General features: G+C 47.0%; 1 protein-coding gene across 42 annotated transcripts in view, besides 1 other annotated feature; it reads left to right on the forward strand.

Annotated features, from left to right (window-relative positions):
- ZNF536 (zinc finger protein 536) overlaps nt 1-25,182 on the forward strand; it is a 487,995-nt gene that overhangs the window by 112,712 nt on the left and 350,101 nt on the right. For 22 of the 42 annotated variants that reach the window (XM_011527554.3, XM_047439779.1, XM_047439774.1 and 19 more), the window contains one exon: nt 14,065-14,181. The exons of the other annotated variants lie outside the window; for them this stretch is intronic. The gene's annotated coding sequence lies outside the window, so the exon portion shown is untranslated. The remainder of the gene's footprint in view (nt 1-14,064; nt 14,182-25,182) is intronic. 42 annotated transcript variants of the gene reach the window in all.
- Nucleotides 11,089-14,326: an enhancer, noted in NCBI's record as "VISTA enhancer hs430". NCBI's record gives its function as "enhancer in: midbrain (mesencephalon)[3/6]" and the evidence as "EXISTENCE:transgenic organism evidence [ECO:0001131][PMID:17130149]".

The raw sequence follows: 25,182 nt of genomic DNA on the forward strand, positions 1-25,182 counted from the left end.
CAATGATAATATGATGATGATGATGACAATGTTGATAGTAATGATGGTGGTGATGGCGATGATGGTGATAATAATGGTGGTGATGATGGTGGTGATGATGACAGTAATGATGATGAAGATGATTTGATGATGATGGCGATGACAATGATGATATGGTGATGATGATGACAATGATGATAGTGATGATGATGATGATGATGATGATGATGATGGTGCTGCTACTGCTGATGATGGTGATAGACCTTGTGGTATAGTGGCTAAAAGAATGGAGCCAGGTAGTCTGGGACTGGATCCTAGTGCTATCACTTCCTGGTTACTTAACCTGGGAGAAACTACTTGACCTCCTTTTGCCCCAGTTCCCTCATATCTGCAGGGGGGCAATGCTAATAGCATTTCACAGGGTTGTTGTAAGGATTTGAACTTGGACCCCACCAAGGAGGGGCTGGCATATGGTAAGCATGATTAACATGCTAACTAGTGAGTATTAGTTCTTATTGGTTATTATATGATTGTTGTCTTATTATTTTAGTAGCTGTGCAATCTTGGGCATGCTAGTTAACCTCTTTGAGCATCAGTTTCCCTATGGATGAAGTGGGGACACAGTGCCTGCTGCAGAAGGCCATTCTGTTGCTGGTGGCATGTGTGAGAGTGCAGCACCTGCCAGCCCAGGTTGCCTGCTCTTCCCTCCATGTCAGCTTGGTCCCTCCTCTTCCTTCCCTCCCCCGGGCTGTAAAGTTCCGTAGCTAAGTAACCCTGGCTGATGTGTGGCTTTTGGCGGTGGTGCTTACGGGAGAGCTGCATGTGCCGCCGCCTCCTTTGGGTGACAGCTGTTCCTAGGCAGATGCCTCCCCCATGTTCTGGAGCAGTGAAAAAAGGGGAGAGCGTCCCAGATTTAAATTTGGAATCCGCACGGAATTGTGCCAGCCTGCCTCGGAGTCCACAGGGCCCATGGGCCAGGTGCTCTTTGGGGTGACTGCTCTCTGGACACTGGCATATTGGTCACATGGCTGGGTCTAAGTTGGGTCCTTGAAGCCCTGAGCACAGTGGGAGTCCCAGAACAGCTTCTAGGGCTGTGGAGCAGCCACTGACCCCACCCGAGGAGCCTCTCACTCATCTGCTGGGTGAGGTGCAGGTGGGAATACTGCTGGGAAAGGTGTGCAGGCAGCAGGAGTGAGCAAGTGAGCAAGAGTGGGACCATTGATGCCCTTGGTCTCAGGGTGTGGCACACACAGGGCTTGCCTACCCTCGGGCAGAGCTCTGCCCACTGCTGTGCCAGCCTTCCAGGGATCTAGGATGGTCCCTGGGCTGGGATGGGTTTCCCAGATGGACACCTCCACCTCGAGGGTGAGGGTTGCCCTCTGGGGGCTGGAGGTTGGTGACATTGCCAAATCTCTGCACCATAGGGAGACAAGAGGGGCTGCTACAGCCCTGGAGTGTGGAGGAAAGGTTGGAGAGGGAGGTGGGGAGGCCAGCAGCCACGTTCTGAGCAGGCAGGTGCTGTGGCTGCGTGGTTGCTGTCGACTTGGAGGCTGCCTTCTTCTGGAAGCAGGGTGGGCTCCTCTGGAATCTCCAGCCCTAAATGTTCTCCTTCTGCCCCAGATATCTGTGTTTGCCTCTGGCCTGGGGGTATCCTGCAAGGGTGAGCTGGGTGGACCCTCCTCAAGGAGGACCAGTGGGCACTCTTCATCCTAGGGAAGGCAGGTGGACTCCCCATGAATCCTGTCCTGGGCCCGGGCAGGCCGCCATCCCCTGCACCCCCTCTTCCCGCCCGTCCCAGCTCCAGGAGTGTCTGCTGTCTAAGGGACAGTGGTGGGGACAGGGTAACAGGTCAAACCTGGTCTCGTGGGCTGACTTGCAGAGTCTCCCTAGCTCTGAGGTGTCAGAGATGGCCTTAACCCCAATGGCCATGTCTCTGGGGGAACACCGGCCAGGTAGCCTGCACAAGAAGCCCAAATCCAATGGTCACACTGGCTGTCATTCCTCAGAGGTGGTTTCAGGGGACAAGATGATGGGTGTCAGCAGGACCCTTAGGAAATGTCAGTCAGTCGGGTCCCGGAGGGGAGACCGCACTGGGCCCAGCCCAGCCCCTGGACTCCCCCTACAGTGCTCCCTGCTTTGGGTGTCAATATCCCCTAAGAACAGGGCTTGGACTCGATGCATAATCCATTTTAATCTCTCCCCTTCTTACTTGACTTTTTATATATATCTCAGAGGCAAACATTCCTAGTGAAGGGTTGTTTTCTTCTTGCACCTTGGAGGGGTCTTTTCATCTGCTCAGGCACCTTCGCATCCCCGTGGATCAGGGCTCAGAGCAGAGGAGAGTCAGCAGTCTCTAAATTATCATCATCTCCTACCTGCACATGTACACAAAAATAAGCCTGAATGCTTTTTCTTAGTATGCAATTTGCTGTCTATTTTTAACTTGTACACAGAGGGCCAAAAAGAAAATTCCATGAGGACATGAGAGTGCATTGAGGTTGCAGGTATACAGTCACCAAAGAACCTGAAATAATTGCCGGAATGATATCCTCTAAAAGATGTGAGCCTCTCAGAGAGAGAGAGAGAGGGTTCCTCTTGCAACAGGCATCGTGTGTGTGTTTTATGTCCCTTCTCTTCTGCTGCTGTGCACTTAATTCGGTTCCAGCCGTGTCAGGGAGACTCGAGAAAAAAATCCCACCATTAAAGACATGCTCTTTGTTTTTTCAATCTGTGACCCCAGCAATCTCTTTAGCAAGCCATGGTTCAGTGAACTGGCACACAGCAGCCGTTCGGCAGTGGAAAAAATCATAAAACAGATGGAAGCTTTACATTTTTGTTTAGTTTTTAAGAGCAGTTTTTATAACATCGCTTAAGACCATTCTGATGCATCATACTGTTTACACTCAAAGCTTTGTAGCTAAGATGTTTACAGTATGGAGAATGTTTTAAGATATTTTATAGTTTTGATATTTAGATAATTGGCAAGGAAAAAAATAGTTTGTTGAGATTGCAGTGATGTTGGGAACCGTGAAGTAACTTATGAGTCTCAATAAATATGTCCAGTTCGGTGGAAAGTACAAACTCAGTTAAAACAAAACAACACAAGAGGGAATATCTTTTTAGTGAAATCATTTCCTTTTCTTAATCAAAAGATGACAGGCAGGGCCTTAGAACTTCCATCTGTGCCACACCACACCACACTCTGTGCCTGCTGCTTCTCCTCTCGTGATTGATAGCTGCACCCCATTGGTCCCTTGCTATTCTGCATGAGTTCATGCAGACACCAAAGTTAATAAAGTTCAGTTTTAGGAGACCACCTTGAAATAAACCCAGGGCAGCCCCCCTCATCTCTTTGTGCAGTAGAACTTGCAGAGATTTTTTTTTCAATGTCAAAGAATTTATGCAGAGCTGGGATTTGGAACTCTTTTTTTTTTTAACTGCCCCAAAATGGCATTAATCAAAAACAATAACTCCTTTTAACTTTTCTAAGTGCTCTAAAGGAAAGTATGAAATAATCTGTGTGTGGGCCACAAATGTGGAGAATGCAAACATTTCACAATAAACATGTTGAAATGAAAGTCCCTGGCAAGATAGTCTGAAAGATAGTACATGCTGGGTTAATTAATGCATACTCATAAAAATAAACCTCACTTTTAAGATTTGACCAATAAAAATCATTAGCATATTTGGATCAGATGACTTTATGTATACATTGAACTTCTCCATGCAAATTGTCCTTGGAAAAGCCTGGAAACAGATTTCAGTTTAAAGTCAAAACTCCTCTTCTGTCTTCTCTTTGTGTTTCCAGTACAGTGATATGATGATTTATTCTGGTTTCATCTGTTATACCTGCAATTGATCTACTGGTGATGGGATTAAATTTATCATTTTAGATGTATAAGTCATAGTTAGATAGCCAGAAAAATGTTTAGTTGCATAAAAATTCCCATTGTTTGCTTTCGACACACAGTGTTTGATTTTTGCCGTAGTCAAATTGCTGTAGTGCATTATTTTTACTCCAAGATGTTTATTTATTTATATATTTATTTATTTTGCTATCTTAAATGGAATCATTTTGGCCCATTCACAACTGCTATCTTTAAAAAGATATTTTCTTGAGATCATGTATTCAAACAAATGTGGACTTGGGGTTGTGGACTCTGCTATGTGCTGAGGTTCTGCTGAATTAGACATCACATAATTTTCTAAGTCTAATTACAGTATGGAAGATTCCAGTTTTATGTTACGCTTTTTGTACAGGAAAAGACAAACTGCTACAAAGACCTCTTCAGTATGAAGCTAACAGTAAAACCAAACTCATTTTAAAAGAACTGAAATTGAAATTCATAAACTCAGTGGAAGTTAAGTTGTAACTACCCAGCCTGGGAAATTCTGAACCTAAGATAATGCTGCATTTTGAATCCTTATGAAAATAAAAACAACCCAACAACAATTATTGAGGAAAAAAACTCTAGCATGAGTTTAATTTTATCCAACTTTATTGGCAGCTTATTTTGAACTAATGTGCAATAAAGTTGCCAAGCACAGCAATTGAAAGAAGTAAGAAAAAAACATTTTTGGTTGTTTTCTTACACTGGTTTGTTCTAATAAAGGCGGTAGAGAGGTCAACACCTGAACAGATAATTTGGGTGTCTGTCTCAATCATGCCTGGCTTAGTGCTTTAGGTCTTATCAGTGCTGTCATTAGCCACTTCCACTAAAGGCCAGGTGATGGTCTGGCTGCTGCAGGGTGTTCCAGGGTCTGCAGTCTCTGGGTCTCTTGTCTCCCCCACCCTCGGCCCGGTGGGGACAGCCTTGGGCCCCTGGATAAGCCCTTCTATGGTAGCATCCTCCAAGCTTGCCTGGGAACAGGACAAGTACCCCTTCCTAAGAAAGAGGCTTTCACATGAATGTTTCTGGAAAAAGGGCTTGCAAGTTTGAGGGTTCCAGCAGATTATAAACAGTGTCGGCTTCATACCCTCATTTTGTGCCAGAGACTCAACATTGCCTATTTTAGAGACTGTGTGTTTACGCCTCCAAAACAAACCTCTGCATGTGTGTATATTTGTCCAAAAGCCACACCTAGTGATTCCTGGGGTGGGGGAGCATCTCTTCATAATATGTATCACAAGTGCTACTTACTGATGTTAGCAAGCTTCTCAGCTCCCTGCTCCATCTCCAGTTGAGGGGCCTTGACCTGGGTGAGGCTCCGACTTAAGGGAAACCTAGAAAAATCCTGTGCCCAGGTGGAGATGAAGGGGAGGAAGAGGTGTTCCAGGGCTACTAACTGGTAGTCCCTGGAGAACCCTATGACATCCACGCAGTGAAATTAAAAGCTGAAGATGTATATAGCATGTGCGTGATTTTCATCATACAGAAGTCCCATAGTTTCCACCTGATTTTTGAGGGCGTTCCTTTCTTGTCTGTAGCTGAGAAACAGATAAACTTTTGCAAGTGGACCTTTCGATGCGAAACACTAGGAGATGGTAACCTATGCCTGGATAAACTGGGTGCTGCTTCAGGACAAAGATACACATTTCTGCCCCTGAAGAAGTCTCACCCACAGAATGCTGGGTTGGATGGAGGGAAAACAGCAAGAGGTTGGCCAACTCTGAGTGCATCCTGAAAGCGTCCCTGTTTCAGTCCTTAAAAAAAAACTTATTTCAGTCCTTTTTAAGGTAATAGCTTGGTGTAACAGTCAAGATGGCCATGCGAAAGTGTCAGAGGGAGCAAGCCATGGCCTGTGGTGAGACCCAGGGAAGGTAGTTGAAGGGGCCCCTGTCAGAACCCCACCATGGGGTGCTGGGTTTCAGGGGCACCCCTGTTTTGGCCCTGTGGTTTCCCACCCCTAGGGCCTGCCCCCAGTTGGCAGACAAGGACAGCCAGTGGCCCACACCTATAATCCCAGCAACTTTGGGAGGGTGAGGCAGGTGGATCACCTGAGGTCAGGAGTTCGCGACCAGCCTGGCCAACATGGTGAAACCCTGTCTCTACTAAAAATACACACACACACACAAATATATTGGCGGCCTCCTATAATCCCAGCTACTCGGGAGGCTGAGACAGGAAAATCACTTGAACCCGGGAGGCGGAGGTTGTAGAGAGCAGAGATCACACCATTGCATTCCAGCCTGGGCAACAAGAGTGAAACTCCATCTCAAAAAAAAAAAAAAAAAAAAAGACAAGGATGCTGTCACCCATATCTCAGACTCCATACTTGGGACATGATGCATCCGTCACCTTCATTCCCTTCTCCGAGTCAGCACTGGATCTTGTGCCTTGGGAATTATCAGCTCTTGGGTCTCCCCTGTCCAACGCTGGGCCTGGCCTGCCACACCTTAAAAGCCCTCACTGAGCGAGTCCCTCGCTTGGGCTGGAGCAGAGCAGGCAGGCCATTTTTTTTTAAAGGCTGGGCCCATGGTGGCCTCGGGGATTCAGGTTCCCCATGGGCAGAAGGCTCTTTGGAGACCCCTGCATTCATCCCCTCATTTCACAGTTGGGAAAGTCAAGGCTAGGGAAGAGAAGGGACTCCCAAGGTCAGACAGCGAGACAGTGACTTAGTGACCAGACCCAGGCTCCTAGTTCTTGGCCCTGTGATCTTGTCACTACGTGATACTGCTTGTCTAGTGAATGGCACATGAGTCAGCCTTCTGTGGGAGACACAGATTGGATGCTACTTTCTGTAAGATTTCTGCCTCCTGCTGGCTTATCTTTTAATATAGCATCAACAACAGCAACAGCAACACAATAGCAGCTACTAACTCGGTACCAGGCATATTATTTTTCTAAATTAATTAATACTAATTCATGATCTCCTTTAGTTTAATTCGTTCTTGCAACAACCTTACGTGGTAGGTACTACCATCATCCCTATTTTGCAGATGAGGAAACTGGGGCCGGAGAGGTTGTCAGATGCCCCAGGTCCACAGTCAGTAGTGGGGGAGGACCACGCCCCGGGGGCTCCCCCCAGCATGAGTGCACTCAGCTCCTTTCTCTGTTCCTGTCCCCAGCCCTGTGAGAAGACTCCAGGTTTGACAGAGCTGAGCATTTTCCTCTTTGAACCAGCTATGTCTCTGTTTTATGTACATAGATGGGCAAGAAGTACTGGCTTTTATTTATGGCACTGGGATATAAAATTTCCACTGGACACACATTGATTTAAGGAAATCTGTGGTCAGTTTCAAGAAGTGTCTTCACCAGTTTATGGTAAAGGTATAAGCAGATGTGGTAATAGCATGAAGGTGGCAGGCAACGTGGTTGGAATTTGGTCAGCACTGTCCCATGTCTACTTAAGGTAGAAGAAAAGAAAAAAATGTAGTGACTCCACTTTTAGAAATTTCAAATGAGTCCTTATCTGCCTTCTGGGAGAGAGAAGCCCCAGTGACATCTTATGACCAGGTCATTGAAGGCAGAGAGTCTCGGATGCTTAGTTTTCCTACATGCATCTAAGGGAGCCATGCTCGACCCACCAGCGGGAGCCACAGATCCATGAAGTCTGCAGTCTTCATCCAGTGTCATCCCGGGGACTAGGTCGGCCTACCTGAAAGGGGACTGGCCTCTGGCTTGGAATCAGTGGCAGAGCTGGAGGCAGAAGGAAGGAGGAGGTGGCAAATTGGGACCGGGAGGCATCAGTCGGGAGGGCTGGAGAGTGTCTCATTCAAACTCCCGTGTACAGCACTTGTGCTTTGTTGCCTAGTGTGACCAGGTTGATGACTGTAGCTGGCATGCACCCCAGATGACTACCAGACATTCAGGATAAGTCTTCCATGCCACTATGATGCTGCCACAGTGTTACAGATTCACTGCCATCGGAAAGGCTGTAGGACAGTGGTTCTCAAACTGGCTTCCAAGGGACCCCAAGGGTTTCCAAGGAGACACCTTGGGAGCCAGGAGAAGGGAAGGGCTCAGGGTTCTTCTCCGCAGCTATGGGCAAAGCAACTGTGCTATTATCAGCTCATATGGGAGAAGATTTCCTCGGGAAAAGGATTCTGCTACTAGGAAACGCTGACAAATCATATATTTAGACCAAATTTTATTCTTTTTCTAAAATTTTATTTATTTATAACTTTTGTTTTAAGTTCAGGGGTACCTGTGCAGGTTTGTTACATAGGTAAACTTGTGTTCTGGAAGTTTGTTGTATAGATTAGTTGTCACCCAGGTATTTAGGTTACTACCCATTAGATGTTTTTCCTGATCCTCTCCCTCCTCCCACCCTCCACCCTCTGAGAGGCCCCAGTGTGTTTTGTTCCCCTCTCTGTGTCCATGTGTTCTCATCATTTAGTTCCCACTTATAAGTGAGTGAGAACATGCAGTATTTGGTTTTCTATTCCTGTGTGAGTTTGCTAAGGATAATGGCTTCCAGCTCCATCCTTATTCCTTCAAAGGACATGATCTTGTTCTTTTTTATGGCTGCATAGTATTCCATGGTGTGTATGTACCACATTTTCTTTATCCAGTGTACCATTGATGAGCATTTAGGTTGATTCCATGAGTTTGCTATTGTAAATAATGCTGCAATGAACATACGCATACATGTCTCTCTTTATAACAGAACAATTTATGTTCCTTTGGGTATATACCCAGTAATGGGATTGCTAGGTCAAATGGTATTTCTGTTTTTAGGTCTTTGAGGAATCAACACAGTCTTCCACAATGGTGGAAGTAGTTTACACTTCCACCAGCAGTGTGTAAGCATTCCTTTTTCTCCACAACCTAGCCAGCATCTGTTATTTTTTGACGTTTTAATAGCCATTCTGATTGGTGTGAGATGGTATTTCACTGTGGTTTTGATTTGCATTTCTCTAATGATCAGCGATGTTGAAGGGCTTTTTTTTTTTTTATATGATTCTTGGCCGCATGTATGCCTTCTTTTGAAAAGTTAGACCAAATTCTTGATTCTGCAGATGGGAAACCAAATTCCTCAGAAGATCAAAGGATTACAAAGATCAACTCTGTACAGTCATTTAAAATAGAGAATGTCTTTATTCAAGCATATCGGTGGAGCTTTGGTAGAAGAAATAAAACATACTCTGAAAGGTGACACGAGGGTTCCTCTGGTCTAGCCGCCTGCTTTTTGGGCAGCCTGGCAGCTAGAACATTTGATAGAGGTGGATATCTGCCTGGGACCAAGCTTTCCGCCACAGGGGGCCCAGAGCCTGCAAGACAGAACTGCTCATCGTATCCACCCATGATGGCTGGAAGTTGAGTATTTATGGGGTGCCAGGGCCATGAGCCAAGCTCTTTCATTTATGATCTCCATTCTACAGATGAAGAAATGGAGGCTCGGGGTCAGGATGTGACTTATCAGCAGGAGCCTACTGGGCTCTGGTCCAGGGTCTGTGCTCTCAGCCACTGCGGCCCCTGCTCCCGGGAAGAATGTCTTGGTGTCTAGTAGGATTGCACTGAGGTATACAGGGCCAGGGGTCTCATTGTCAGAAACACCCAGAACGAATCCTCCCCTCTTGAAGATTCAGACAGAAGAAATAGGAATATTCCTATCTCCCCTTTCCTGACACTGCAAGGGTTTTTGCAAAATGCTCCTAGCTGCCCCACAGGGTTTCTAGAAGTCTGTGTGCTTTGAAACATTGGAGGGGAGACAAAGATGGGTGACCAAACCCCTAAACAGCAAACAGGCAGGGGCCCTACTTAGGATGTCTTCTCCTATGTCTTACTTCAACCCGCCACGTGGGCATGCTGGAGACGCCCATGTGTGTACTTGTTGATGACAAGATTCCAATGATGTTCTTTCATCCATTCATGAAGTATTTTTGATTTACATGTGTTTATGCATTTACCCATTAATTCATGCATTTATTACTTTTTACATTCCTTCAATCATCTTTCTATTTCTCCATCCATCCATTTATACATGCCCTTATGCATTCATTCACCTCTTCATACATTTGTTCATGTATGCATTTGTTAGTTCCTTCCTTCATTCAACAAATAAAACACGAAGAAATGAATTAAAGCTTCTGGAGGAATCTGTAATGGTTTAACTGCACCCAGGGTAGATTCTGGGCATCTTTCATATGATTGGATGCAGAGGCTCACTAAGTTGAATAAACAGTGTCAGGGTACCTAAGAGGCATTTTTTTGTGGCCTGGGAGAGGTGCAGGCTAAACTCATCCACCGTGACTGTAGAATTCAAATGTCCCTTACGTGCTGAGGTCCTTGAGCCTCCCTCTCTACTTTTTCTCCATGGACTGATAATTTGTGGGCACCCCTGTGGGTCCCCTCAACAAGTCTTCCTGTGACCCTGGGACATCCTTGGGTTGCTCCTGAGTCCTGAGGACTGGCAGAATCCTCCATGGGGATGCAATGGATGGTTGAGTCCAAGATCCAGGGCTGGGACATGAAAGGGCAAGGAGAGGTTATCTGTCTTGAGTCTCATGAGGGATGCACACAGAGCAGGGCAGGAGCTGCAGTGGAGGGCATGGAGGCAATACAAAAGTACCAAGTGCCATGCAGACCAAGGTTTCCTTCTCTTCTTTCACCAAAGAGTTTCCATCCATTTTCTTTTTTTTTCTTTTCTTTTTTTTTTTTTATTTTCACGTGATCCCTGAGAGGCCAGCAGAATGAATGCCAGTGCACCTGTTTCACAGGTTGAGAACCCATATTTGAAAGCACAAATGATTGTGTATGAATCAAACACAATCCAAAGATAAGGTAGAATTCCTGGCAATCGTAATAATCTTGAGTGCAAGCCAGGCTAAGAATGACACAAAGGGAAGGGCCTTCTGCCTCCACCAAATGAGTGAGGATGAAACATACTGTGTCTTCTGCCTCAAGTGCTGAGTTGGTGCCCTGGAGCTAGGTTGATTGTTAAGATGGCTTCAGTCCAGACTTCTTTTGGTTTAGTGAGATGATATTTTGTTTTCACACTCAACTTTACTTACTGCATAGGGCTCCAAATGCATCTATGTGCCCTTTCTGCTTTGCAGACAGTGTTCCAAGTATCTGGCTGCAAAGATTGGGTAAGTAGAGCATTCATAATGGCTTTCACACATGCAGGCTGGCCTGGGGCACCTGTTGGTTCCAGATGTTTATGGCCTTGACCCCGGTGTGAATGTCATCCCTCCCTGCAGTGAAGGCCGAATGAGTGGTCAGGTGGAAAATGTTCCTGCCTTCCTTATACTGGAGTTAACTTCCAAGGTACAGTCCTTCCCCATGCATTCAGAAAGCCCCACTCCAAGAAGCCAAGCTCAGGTGTCCTGTTTCACCTATGCCTCGGAGTCCCACCCACATTGAACCTCAACTCATGGCCAATGAGAAGCGTTCTTGCTACACACTGGTTCCCTAGGTAACCGAGTGTACACTCGAGAAGAACTATAGAGAAAGGAAGAAGTGGTACCCCACACCCTCCTCTCCTTGGGGTCTGTGCTTTATCCACCTCAGCCCTCGACCCTGCCCTCACCAACTAGCCATCTTTTTGCCTGTTACTCTGCTTGATTTAAGATACACAGCCATAAACACTCAGGGCAGCCAGCAGCATGGCCGGATATAATATTAATTTCTTTTCTGGTTTATTTGTGAAGGAGTCAACCATGTAAATCACTTTAAGTCACTAAGACAGAAAGTGATATCGCATCTTCAAATGGAGAAGTATAGTATGTTACCATTAAAATCTAAGTAGAATATGTGATTCAACTGAGGTTGTTAATGTGGGTATACTTTTGTTAACCTTACTTTCGATTGTGTGAGATGCTCCGAAAGTTGTTTTTTTTTTCTATTCATTTTAGTGCAAACCAATGGATACCTATCTGAGGTATATCATTAGAAAGTCTGGTGTCTGCCGGACAATCTCCTTGCAATGCCATTTTTCATGACTTGTTTAATTAACAACCATTTTTGACCTAGACTTGTTATAAAAGTGTTGCTATTCTCTCCTGCTAAATTATGTCTAATGAACATATTTGCATGTTATCAGATACAGCAATATATCATTTCAAATTTCGGCGTTTAAGCCTGCATCACTCAAAACAGCTTTTGTGGATTAGTAAGCAGGTGAAATCAAAAATCTCATTTCATATCTGACATTAATAACTTTCAGGGGGAATGAGCATTGGCATTTATGTCTGGACCAGAATCGAGTCCAATGTCCTAGAAACACAAGGGCAGCAGACAAACCTACTCACCAGATAGGAAAATAAATCATGCATAATGCAGAATTTCTACCTTACATGTTAATTAATGTGTGCAATCAATTACTGATGTTACAATATGAGAAAGAAACTGGTGGGGAATGGGGTAATAAAAAATACCTATAGATTTATCTGCTTCTTTTTTCTATTTAAACAAATAGTCTTCAAGCCTGTGAATGCTGTGTTGAGACATGCTCTGAATAATAAGCATCATAAAATCTAATCAGATTTATAAGAGGAATTGATTGTTGTGGCAGGAGGAGAGGGTGGAAAATAAGCTGAAATTTAAGTGTTAATTTTTATGCTAATCCACAGTGGCTTCATATGAAGCAATTTTGTTCTGTGCCACAAATATAAAATTGTCCCTTGCAGAGAAATGTCAGCTTGCTAGACCTGAAAGCAGTAATTTATTAGGTATGTTTCTATTAGTATGTGTCACAGTTGTTAGCAGGCTATACACACAATGGTGCTTCATACTTATCCTCCAAGTCTCAGAATGTTTCAGCTCAGTGGCTGGAACGTGGGGCATTAATACATTATCATATGCGGGGTGGTCTGTGCCCTGTGGACAAAAGGCTATTTAATACAATTTAATGTCATTCTGAGAAGAAGTGGAAAAATAAAGACGGGGAATAAAATGGCATCTGTGTGTTTCACTGTGCACTCATGCACAAACCCTCAGTTTAAGAGGTATGACATTTCTGCCAAGAAAAAGAATAAAACTGGGGCATTTTTTTTATAACCTGTTCCCCACTGCAGTATTTTCTAAATGCTATTAAGTGATCGATTTACACGGCCACATGATGATGTCATCTATAAGAAGGGGAATGCAGATGACAGCAAAATACTAGTGACAGTGACCTTGTTTCAGAATCCTTGGAACCCTGTCAGCTTTGCTTCCAGTATATGGTTTCAAAGAATGCACTTTTTGGACAATATCTAGTTACTGGGTAGTGAATTAATAGAGTTAAGGGTTCTGATGCAATTCACATATAGGTCAATTACATGCGCCAACATCTGCTCTGTCACTATCATTTGCATATAGCATTCATATGTTAATGATGCCTCTTTTTACTCAAGTAATATATTTAAAAAACAAGATTTGCATATCAGTTTGGATCAGTATATTACAAGCAATTTATCATTTTCTCCTTCTTGTTATGATTTTAAGAACAATATCTTGAGTGATGGCTGCTATATTTGAGCACGGCTCTGATTTATACAAGAAACCCCTCAGTGGGAAAGCTTCCATTCTAAAGCTGCTTAAAGCCTTATAAATCAATAATGACACAGATGGACTGGTGATAATCTATTTAGAATGCCTGATAGCAAATATTGTTGTACAGATGATTAGAGTGGTAACTGTTTTAGCAGAAAGCCTGTCCTCTCTTGGTAAATGGTAAGTTTGAACAAAAAAGTGCTCGCACATGGACTTCATGTTAGGAAATCTTCTTGCTGGGTCTGGATTGCAAAGGGGAAAACATGGGGGAGAAGAACAAAGGGACTTCCCGCTCCTGCCAATATAATCATATCAATCCCTGTTTCTTTAACAAAACAGGACCTCTTAATGGAATTGTGTCTTCAGGTGTAAATAGCATTAAAAGCTGCTTCTCCTCTCCTCTTTGCCCTGATAGAGCACAAGGAGTGAGAAAATAAAGTGGAGGTTGTCAGAAGTGGCAGCTGCTTGGAATCCTGATAAATATAAGCTTTTATTGATCTGATGAAAATGAAAGATCCCAGTGCTAGGCAGTATTTAGCTTCTTGTCTACAGCACGTCACCGGTGGCCTTGCATGGGGATAGATTTCCATTCTCATACACCGGATTTGATTTCATCTTTAACCTTTTCCGTTGAATTTCCTTGACCTCTGCATATTGCTGTGATTTGGTGAATTTGTTACATTTCACTTTACATCATTTCTTTCTATATTTCCTTTTGTGATAGGGAACGGGGACGCCCCCTCTTGCAATCTGTCAGTGCCTGCACCAACTTTATCCTTTCTGGGGCATTTTCTCACCAGACTGACAGTCCTTAAGACAAGTATGCAGTTAAGCTGCTAAGGTAAGTCTTACGATATTAGAACTCCTTCTTCTTCCCAGACATACCTCATTTCCTTCTGCCTTGTTGCGTTGACCAAACACAAATCTAAACCAAATAGCTCCTCTGTCTCCTGCCCCCGGCCAGGGGCTTCCTTGTACCCTCTCCCCAACCCAGATAGGAGTCCCGTACCTGCCCAGTAAGCTCTCGGTGAGTGGTGGCTGGCAGGGCCTTTCCCCATGGGGGAGGTATTCCTTTGTGGTTTGGGTGTGTTTGGGGATGGGTGGGGAAGAGGCACAAAGAGATCGTGAAAAAATGTTATTTTCTCCTCTGTGGCTTAAGGCCTTTCTGAAGTTTTCTTCTGAGATAAAGATGGGGCTTCATTGCAAAATCCTGAGGTGCTGCTAACATATTCTGGTTCCAAGAAAGTGCTGCTGTTATTTTGAGTAGTTTTGATACAACCAAATCAAAGTGAAGATTTGAAATAGCTTTTCTGAAAGCCCAAGCTGAAGTCATAAATTATTCTGCACCATGATTCATTCTGATAGTAAAACCATACTTCTTTGCCTGACATCGCTGAAATGTGGAAAAGTGAAAGTTAAAAATAAAATGAAACATTTAAATCTTGGCTGTTGAGAACCTCAGGTAGACATCAAGGCCAGTCGATAAAAGCCTCTATCAATTAGGCTTCCACGGTTATCATCAGATATTGGTTTATTAGCAATTGCACAGGTGCCGGGTTCCGGTATTAAGAATCGGAAGGGATAAGAAAAATTCAGGGAAGTACCATAAATTGAGAAGCAAGGGTCTGGGGCTCCGAGGTGCACTTGAAGGCAGAGCACGAGACAGTGGTGGTGCTACGGCCTCGTGTAATATCGTAGGAGAAAAATATCTGCAGCGTAAGAGTGGGAAGTTTTCCTTTTTTTACCCCCTTTATTTGAGTTAGAAAGTGTTGATTTCACACTGTGGTGAGTGTTTTCCGTCAGTTTCTTGGTGGGTGTATTTCGTGTTAAGAAAAAGGAACAGCGAACACCAGCAGTGGTCGCTTCCATCAGTGGATGAGCAGCCCCCCCCTGGCACCGGTGACTTCTCAGAGCACTGGGTCTCCCCTAGGCATGGTGACAACCCACAGGCTTCCGGGCCCCGGGCTTCCAGACTGAGCTGTTTGGCTAGTTCCTTCCACAGCATATCGCCGGCAGGAGCAATTTTTGGTTCCATAGCTGTTTGGTTGGGAAAACAAGCCTGCAGTTGCCAGTAAGGTTTAGAATCTGCCTGCCAGATAAGGGAATGTCTGCGAAGACTATTTTCCCTCTTGGGAGGCAAAACACAGATGGAGGAGTTAGGAGCCTTACAATATTTAGCTGCTACATTGATGGTGAGGATTCTGCCACGCGGATGCTCACAGTTTTGGAAGGCCCAGTTTAGCATCCATGCCTCAGGCCTCAGGTAGGGGAGAAGGGTAAGACTGGCTTCCTCCGGGGGCAGTGAGTACATCAGTTTGTTCTGGAACATTCCACTCTGCTTGCCTCCCGAGATGGAGAAGGTGCTGAAAGCTGCCATTTCCCCTGATCCCAATCGGGATGGGTAGGGAAGAGAAGGATGAACTACCTGCCCAGGTGCCTGACAGGGTGGAGACCGAGGGGGAGGAGGAGAAGGGACATGTGTGTCCTCTGGGAATGAGACACAGATATCCTTTGGATGGGCTTCTTGGACTCTGTAGAATAAACAGTAGCTCCAGCCTCATCAGATTCTCTGACACAGAGAGCGGGAGGAGGAGAAGGGACATGTGTGTCCTCTGGGAATGAGACACAGATATCCTTTGGATGGGCTTCTTGGACTCTGTAGAATAGACAGTAGCTCCAGCCTCATCAGATTCCCTGACACAGAGGGATGCATTTTATTTTATTGATGTATTTATTTTCGTAGAGATGGGGTCTTGCTCTGTCACCCAGGCTGGAGGGCAGTGGTGCAGTCATGGCTCACTGCAGCCTTGACCTCCTGGGCTCAAGCAATCCTCCCTCCTTGGCGTCCCAACGTATTGGAATTACAGGCGTGATCTACTACACCTGATCATGGCATGCATTTTAAAAAATTAACTGCCCTGGCATGCTGTGGGCCTCCTAGAAGATAAAGAACAATTACGTGTTCTGTGGGATTGGCCACATAAAGGTAGGGAGATTTTCCCAGACTGGAAATATACATCCTGGAATAATTTCTGGGTCACATGAACTGGAAGGAGGATTGAGACTTTGTATCCAAAAATAAATTTTGTCCCCTGGAGACCAAGAAAGGGGGCAGGTATTAGAAACAGGCAGAGAACATGTGAGCACCATCCTCCCTGCCCCTCGCTGACTTTCAGGCTCTAGACCACAGGCTTCTTGGGCCCTGAAGTTGAATCCTGCCCCAGGTAGTCTGGACCTTGGATGAGCTGGTTAAGAATGGGTTGGAAGTAGGCTAATTCAGCCCCAGAGCCTTTTCTGGACTTTCAGAGTTTCCTGCTGGGACTCTTGGTGCTTCTCTTCATCAATGCCCTCCCGATTCTTTGCACTAGACACTTGTCCTTTTGGAGTCTTATGTATTAGGCCCTGTTTTTGATGCTGTAAAGAAATACCCAAGGCTGGGTGATTTATAAAGAAAGCAGGTGTATTTGGCTCATGGTTCTTCCGGCTGTACAAGCATGGCGCCAGCATCTGCTCAGCTTCTGCAACTGCATGATGGTGATGCATCATGGAGCTTTTACTCACGGTGGAAGGTGAAGGAGAAGCAGGAGCATCACAGGGTGAGAGAGGCGGCGAGGGAAGGGGTGGGGGAGGTCCCAGACTCTTTTAAACAACCAGATCTTGTGTGAACCAACTGAGTGAGAACTCACTCATCACCAATGGGATGGTGTTAAACCACTCACGAGGCAGGGTCTCGTTGTTTTATTTTATTTTACTTTTTCATTTGGAGACAGGGTCTCACTGTGTCACTCAGTTGGAGTGCAGTGGCGTGATTTTGGCTCACTGCAACCTCGACCTCCTGGGCTCATGCGATCCCCGTGCCTTAGCCTCCCAAGTAACTAGGACTACAAGTGCCTCCCACCGTGCCTCGCTAATTTTTGTATTTTTTTTGTATAGATGTGGTTTTGCCATTTTTCCCAGGCTGGTCTTGAACTCCTGGGCTTAAACCAGGGGTCCCCAGCCTCTGGGCCATGGGCTGGTACTGTCTGTGGCCTGTTGGTAATTGGGCTGTCAAGCAGGAGCTGAGCTGCAGGTGATTGAGTGTTACTGCCTGAGCTCCACCTCCTGTCAGTGGCTGCATTAGATTTTCATAGGATCCCAGGCCCTATTGTGAACTGCGAATGTGAGGGATCTAGGTTGCGTGCTCCTTATGAGAATCTAATGCCTGATGATCTAAAGTGGCACAGTTTCACCCGAAACTCTCACCGCCTCCCAATCCATGGAAAAGTTGTCTTCCACAAAACTGGTCCCTGATGCCAAAAAGCCTGCGGACAGCTGGCTTAAGCATCTACCTGCCTCTGCCTCCCAAAGTGCAGAGATTACACATGTAAGCCACTGTGCCTGGCCCAGAGTGCCACTCTTAAGCACTGATTACATAAACATTGAGGCAACCGTTGGTAACTAAATAAATCACACACATCAGACAATGATTTCATGTCCCACCACAATGTAGATTTCCAGAGAGCTCTTTGCAAAGATTGGAGGCAGAATTTCAGGGCATGGTTGTCCAGCCTTCTATAGCTTTATCCTTTAGAAAGACCTCATGTTCAGGTTGGGAGGCCCAGTGACTTCCAGAAGGAAAGGCACTCAGAGCCTATAGAACCCTCCTTTTATGTAACAGACAAACTGTGTCCCAGGCACTTGCAGGACTCTGGGGACCCTGGGCAGTCTGCACTTCAGGTGCTGATCCTGCGGTGGGCTGGGCTGTCCCGAGTCAGCCCCTCCGTCCTGGTACAGATGAGTGAGTCAACATCCTTCCTGCAGCAGTAATTACCTTAGTTAAATGCTGCAGGAGTGGTACTTTGGGAGCACAGAGGAGGGAGTGAATAATTGTAATTTCTATGTGATAATGATGATAAGCCATGCACATGTCTATGGGGCTTTGCATCATATTCGATCTTCACCATGAGATCTCTGGGCTTTTGGAAGAAAAGATCCCAGCAAACTCCTTTGTAGCTGCTGAATGAGATCGGTGTGTAAGGTCCCACGGTGGACACTTTCCCAGGGAGAAAACCAAAATCAGAGATAATTTTAACTCTAGAGAGAAGATAGAGTGGAGCTCATTCTCGCATGTGCATTTCTTGATATCATCTCAATTAATCCTCCCAAATCCCCTAGCAGGTAGTAGATAGTATGATTCATTCCATTTTCCAGATGTGGGATCTGAGGCCAGAGAAGTGGCCTGCCCCAAACCTGGGAGGGCCAGGTCTGAGCATAGCTCTTCCTGACCTCAGAGCCTGATCCCTTCTTCCTGCCTCAAACCTGGTGGTTCGAGCATGGTTCTTCCCAATTTTAGAGCCTGAACTCTTAGCTCTTGCACTGGGCACAATGTTGGACAAGACAGACAAGGGCCCTGTCCTCAGAGGACTGATAATATGGGCGTTGAGGGTGGGGAGCAGTAAACAAGGAAACCAGTGGATATGATGACATCACAGAGCAATAAATGCATAAGAAAATGAAGCAGGAGAATGGGTGGGGAAGGACAGGGGTAGTATCTGTACTTGAGAGAGGGTAGGTGGTCAGGGGAGGCCCCCCTAAGGAAGGGACGCTGGTAGCTAGAGGTCTGGAGGACATGGAGGGGCCAGAGCAGGGTGAAGTTCTGGGAAGAGCATTGGAGCAGAAAGAACAGCATGTGCAAAGGCCTCATGGCGGGGAAGAGCGTGGCATGTCTAAGGGACAGCGTGTAGGCCAGCGTGGCCAGACAGTGATCCCTGGGGAGAGGATGGGTGGGGTGGAGGGCCTTTATCAGGCGTGGCTTTGTAGGCCATGCTGATGAGTGTGAACTTTCATGTTTAACCAGAGGGAGTGTCTTGAGAAACCCTTTTCGGGTGCGGAGATGCTCCTAGGTGCCAGGAATGAGTGGCTTGGATTGGCTCTTGGTGGCCTTCGTTTTCCTCTGGAGGGATGAGCTGGTGATTTGTCCAAAGCTGGGAATTAGGGATTTCAGGCTCTTCGGTGCAAGAAAGATGGACAGCAGCACTGGGGATCCTGCTCTTGAAGCAGCAGGGCCCGGTAGCTCCTCAGGCCCTGGCATGAGCTTTCTGTGCAGCCCCGGGAGGCCTGAGCCTCCCAGCTGTGGGCGCCTGGGGAGAGTGACAGGCAGAGGGCTTCTGGAAGGTATCACAGGCCGCTTAACTTCTCTCACCTCAGGTCCCACATCAGCCCACAGAGTCCAGCTGTGCTGCCCTGCCCAACTATTGCTCACCTCTTCCTTGTACAGACTCTGCTTCTTCCTTTGATCAGGGAGGCTTGGTTTGGCTAAGTCTGTGCCCAGAAGAGAAGAGTGACCCTCAGGGAGTTGCAGACATCTCCTGTTCACTGCAGGGAAACTGGGTCATTATGGGTCATCATGGGTCATCATGCACGCAGGGTGAGTTTAAGGGTAAAGAGTCTTGGTGCTTATAGTTTAGGCCTCTTTCCCTTGGGCAGTGCAGGTATTATTGCCAAGTGGTACTGTCCTCCTGAATTCTAGATCATTCCTAGGCTTATGGAACCCTTGGGTTAGCAGAAACCTTTATGATCAAAGCCACCTTCCTTTTATGGGTGAGAAGGCCGGGGCTCAGAGAGGGTAAGGGACTGGCCCAGGATCATACAGCAAATCATTAGCAGAGCCAGAACCAGAACCCACGCATTTATGTTTATGTCCAGCTCAGTTCTCACCTGAACACAGTAGGCCCTCCTCACCTCCCCCGGGATGCCCAGGCAGATCCAGACAGTTTGGGGGCCACTTGTGGTAAACTGAGGCTCCAGCTTGTGTCTGGGTGGTGGGGTTTGTGTCTTCTCCATCTCAGTAGCTCTCACAGCCCCTAGGGCCGTTCCTGGCCCACTGAGTGGTTAGCAATCACTGTTGTGTTGATTGACTAGCCCCCTTGCTTCTGAAACTTGTAATCATTAGAACTTGTTGCATTGTGGTTTAAGCAAACCAAATATATGACAAATCCACATTTCTTTCTGAATTTTCTGATATGCAGGAATGGCAAGACCCAAGGTCTGTCCAAGTCTAACTTGTGCCAATACTCGGGATGCAATCAGGCCAGGACGCTGGCCCTGAGTTTCTGGTATCTGGACAGGTGATTTCGGATGCCCTTCAGGGATTCCAGCAGGCCCATTTTAGGGTCAGACCATGAAAGTTTTGGACAAAGACAATCAAGGCTGAAGCAGCTCAGGCTGGGGCACGTTTTGGACTCTGCTCCTGAATGTGTTCCTATGGCCCACCCTGTCACTGTGTGACCTGGGCAGGTCTCTTCACTCTTGGGGAGCTGTCATAGCCCCAAATTCAGAGTGCAATTGGCAAATGCATGGAGCTGAGTGTGCACACAGCAGCCTGGGGAAAGCCGGCCCATCAAAAGGGACCGCCACTACCACCTAGCTTCCATCCATTGCAGCCGCCTAGGAGTGTGGGCCGAGTTTGTCCAGGTTTTCGGAGTTTTAAAAGTCAGAAAAAAAGGAATCCAGTTCTTTTTAAAAATTTGTCTCTGTTGTTGGTAACAAATTCAAGTTTTCAAAACACTTTGTGTAAACACAAGTGTGTGTGTGGACTGGCTGGAGCTGGGGCCTGTATTTGGTGATTCCTGAGCACAGGGGCAGACACAGTGTGCATGGTGTGGGGAGGGCTCTCTGCAAGGAGTGGCCAGTGCGGCCCTGAGCTGCCCCCGGGACAGCCTGGTCTGGAGTGTATGAGGTGCAAATGGCTTGGAGCATTGCAGGTCCCTGGCCCCACGCTTCTCCTGGCCCTGAGTTCTCCTGCTGCTGAATATGGCTGCGCCACAGGGAGGCCAGCGACCGTTCCTGACTGCATGGGGTAAGGCCGTTGCTCAGATGTGGGCAGCAATGCAGAAGTCCCTATCTTCTGGGGGAGGCAGTCAGGATGCCCCTCTGCAGGCATCTGGTTCCACCTTCCTTCCTGTCTCCCCGGCACCTGAGTTACAGGGTGCCCACCCATCCTATCAATGTCGGCAGTGGGGATGAGGGAGGGGATGGCCAAGTTCCATCCTTGTGGGCAGTTGGACGACCCCTCCCCACACCACTTGGGTAAGGGCTGCTTGGGAAAACACTTCTGCCTCCTCTGAGTCTGATTCTGCCCTCACGTGTAGCTGATCCACTGACTTTTCTCCCCTTCATTTGGTGGAGGTCCTGATCCTTCACCATGCTGACTGAAGCTTTCTCTGGGCTGCAACTGGACAGGGGCAGTTGACCCAGGGCCTACACTGACCCTGGGACAGGCAGAAGGACAAGATGCTTTCTGTGGTATGAGGCCACCTGCTGAGTGAGAGAAAGTGTCAGGGCTGCCCTGCCCACCTATTGCTCACCTCTTCCTGGTCCAGACTCTTCTCCTTCCTCAAAGGGAGCCAAAGACCTCAGCTTCCCCCATATGAAGAGTCTGCGGGTCAGAGAGGCAAGCAGGTGGCCCAGCATCTTCAGAGCTGGGGGAGGAGATCGGGGCAGGCCCCCAGATAGCTGCTGAGCATTTCCTTCTACCGAAAGTACCACGCAGCGAGCTTGGGCGTAGTGAAAGTGCTTGGGAAGGGGTCGGCTCGGCTCTGGGCCTCACCTCCTGTTGGCCCCTGCCCGGCTCCCTTGATTTCTGTACTCTCCCTTCATCCTGTTCACATGCAACATGGAGTTTCTGTGTGTGTAATATTATTTGTTTTTATTTCTGTAATCCCTTTATTGTTTGCACAACTGCTGTCAGACTGTTGCCTGAAAGTATCACAGGATAATTGCAGAACGCCTGCATAAGTAATTTCTTATGAAATCGGGCCTTGTCTGCATATAAAATTGTTTTTTGTTGCTGCATGCATGGACTTTATTATATCGAGGCTGTTTACAGGGCTTGCACCTTTCCCACAGGCCACAGAGATGGGAGTGTCTGACGCCAGGAAATAATGAAACACGATCAGTATTCTTTTTTGGTCAGATGACATTTCTGGAAGGTGATAGTCGGTCTGACGCGGTCAGAAAGAGCCTGGCCTTGGAAGGAGGGAAGGCGTTTGCTGAAATGGGGACTCGGGGTCCGACTTCCCAGGATTCTGCTGGGGAAGACCACTGGCTAAGCCCGCCTTGCACTGGGCATTTCTTCTGACCACATTTCTGCGATATTAATGGTGTGTGGTAGTGAAAGAAATGTGTTTTATTCTCGAGTCTAACCCTGCTGTTATCAAAGTAACTTCCAGCTTATTAGCGACAAAGGACTTTTCTCCTCTCTGCTGCCCTGTTCGCCAGGGCTTCCTGAATTAAACTGCTGTTTCCTGTCCTTTATATGCATGACCACATCTGGGTAGCCTGCTCACAGCCCTGCTGCTTAATAACAATCACCTTCCCTTTCAGTCTCTGTTGATTGTTTCTAATTCACTCTGACAGATAGTGCCTGACAACTTGCCGGCTTTTCCCTCCCTCCGTGACCTGAAGTTACTCACAGCACTTATATAGTCTGTCATTTTTAATATTTGATTTCATTTTAAGTTATGTGTTTTACTGAGAAGATGAAACCAAAAAAAAAGGGGACTTGTAATGGAACATAAATTTAACCCTTCTTGCCATTCGGCACCCGACGGGAGAACTCTCCCTGTGTGCCTGGGCGACAGCTTCTCCTTTTCTGGAATCCTTGATGCTGCTACTGCTGCTGGATTTTCTTCTCTTTCCTTCCTTCTTTTTTTCTCTTCTTTTTCTTTTTTCTTTTCTTTTCTTTTTTTTTAAGCCTTCTTTTTTTCACTTCTGGAAACAAAAGCTTTATGTCATATTTTTTTCCCTTTAATGGGGCTTGATTACTTTATGGAGCTAATTATGGTGCTTTTTGCTTTGTAATGAGGGTCCAATTGTTAGAGATTTGGGGGGCTTTGCTATGGAGGGAGGGCATCCGGGGAGAGGCCTGGTGAAGTGGAAATGACTGGCTTCCATGAAGGCGTCAAACACGCGCCATGGACCCTTCTTTTTGGAGGTCTTTCTCTTTGTGCCAGCTGTTGGTGCAGAGAAATGCCACTTCTCTCTGGGCTTGGGATGTGCCACTCAGAGTAGGACCTTCCAAAGAGTGGGGACCAGGTGGGTGGTGGGGTTGAGCCTGGACGTAAATTTCTTCTGCCACGTTCACTCTGAATCTGCCCCTGCGGGCGGCCTGGCAAGGCAGGCGTCCTCCAGGGTGGGGTGGGTGGGGCGGGCATCCCACATCACTTCAGGGTCCACTCCGCTGTGACTTTGCCTTTTGTTTGACATAAGACAAAGGCTCCTGTGTCCCTCTTGGCCCTTCAGAGGTCGAGAGCTGTGAGGCCGTGCATTAGGTCAGCTTTGCAAATAGACACCACCAACTAAAAAAGGAGGCACATTAACCCATGACGCCTCACTGCTGCTGCTGGTCCTACTGTACTGCGGGTGTCTGTCTGTTTCGCACAGTGGGGCACGGGCAGTTGAGAAAGTGCAGGAAGAGAGATCTGGGTTGGATCTCAGTTTGAAACATTTCAACTTCACCATCGTCCATGGCCCAGCCTCCCTGGAACCAAAGCTCCTCTGAGTCTGGGAGCTGCCACTCTCAAGGCCCTGTCCAAGGGTTTTCAGATACTTGCAGTGGCAATTGTGCCAGGGGCAGAGGTGTGCTAGTCCTCCAGGCAGAGGCGGGCGGCTTTCCTAGTGAGCTCCGGAAGATGAGAGCCGCATCTCAACACTTTGTTGTAAAGGTAGTCAGCTGGGAACAGCATGATGCAGTCTGGTCCTCTAGGAGGCCACTTTGCAGAAAGTACTAGGCCTGGACTCCAAAGAAGCAAAGGGCCTCCAGGTAGGGCTGGCTCCACTGTCCATGGTGCAGACATTCTGGCCACTTCCCTGCTGTTCTACGACTCTTGGCTCCAGGCCTGTGGAAGGAAGTCGTGCAGGGGCAGCTACTCCTGTCTTGACCCAGCTACTCCCACCATGACTCATTTGCCTGGAGAGTTTCCTTTGCCAAGCCTACTCCTTCAAGAACCTTGGTCCTTGAAGGACTTCCTTCCACAGGCCTGGAATGTTTGAGGTTTAGCCTCCAGCAAGGCCAAATCAAGATTTTTTCTTTCTCCTCCCCACAAAGGACTGTTGGGCTTACCATTGGTTCTTGGTTCTTGTTTATGAGTGTGAGAGGCCAGGGGCAGTGGCTCACTCCTATAATCCCAGCACTTTGGGAGGCCGATGTGGGCAGATCACAAAGCTGGGAGTTTGAGACCAGCCTGGCCAATAAGGTAAAACCCCGTCTCTACTAAAAATACAAAAATTAGCCAGGCGTGATGGTGCGTGCCTGTAGTCTCAGCTACTTGGGAGGCTGAGGCCAGAGAATCGCTTGAACCCGGGAGGCAGAGGTTCCAGTGAGCCAAGATTGTGCCACTGCACTCCAGCCTGGGCAACGCAGCGAGACTCCATCTCAAAAAAAAAAAAGTGTGAGAGAAATTGGGGTTTGAAATTAAGGAAAAACTTTGACGTGGCTCTCGTGCAGCAGGTCTTTATGACGTGGTGGGCTGGGACAAGCTCCCTGGAACTCTAGGCTGACAAAAGGAGGGGGACACAGTATTTCCCGACCTATTCCCCACCTGCCCAGAGCGCTGCAATCCAGATCTTCTGTGCACCTAGCATCGGCAGCATGTATGTTCAGTTAGCACTGAAGTCTGGATGACCCTCGGTGGCACTGCTGTTGTGACCCCTTGAGTTTTCTCAGGAGGCAGCCTATCACCAGGGCTGTGGATTCGCGGGGACCTGAGAATTCATTGAAAACTGACAACTGAGCCTAAAAGGACGTTGCCTGTAGGGAAGTAAGGTGCGCACTTTTTCAGTACACTCTGAGCTGGCAGAAGCA

The sequence above is a fragment of the Homo sapiens genome, chromosome 19 (genome assembly GCF_000001405.40).
Source record: "Homo sapiens chromosome 19, GRCh38.p14 Primary Assembly".
NCBI lineage: Eukaryota > Metazoa > Chordata > Mammalia > Primates > Hominidae > Homo > Homo sapiens.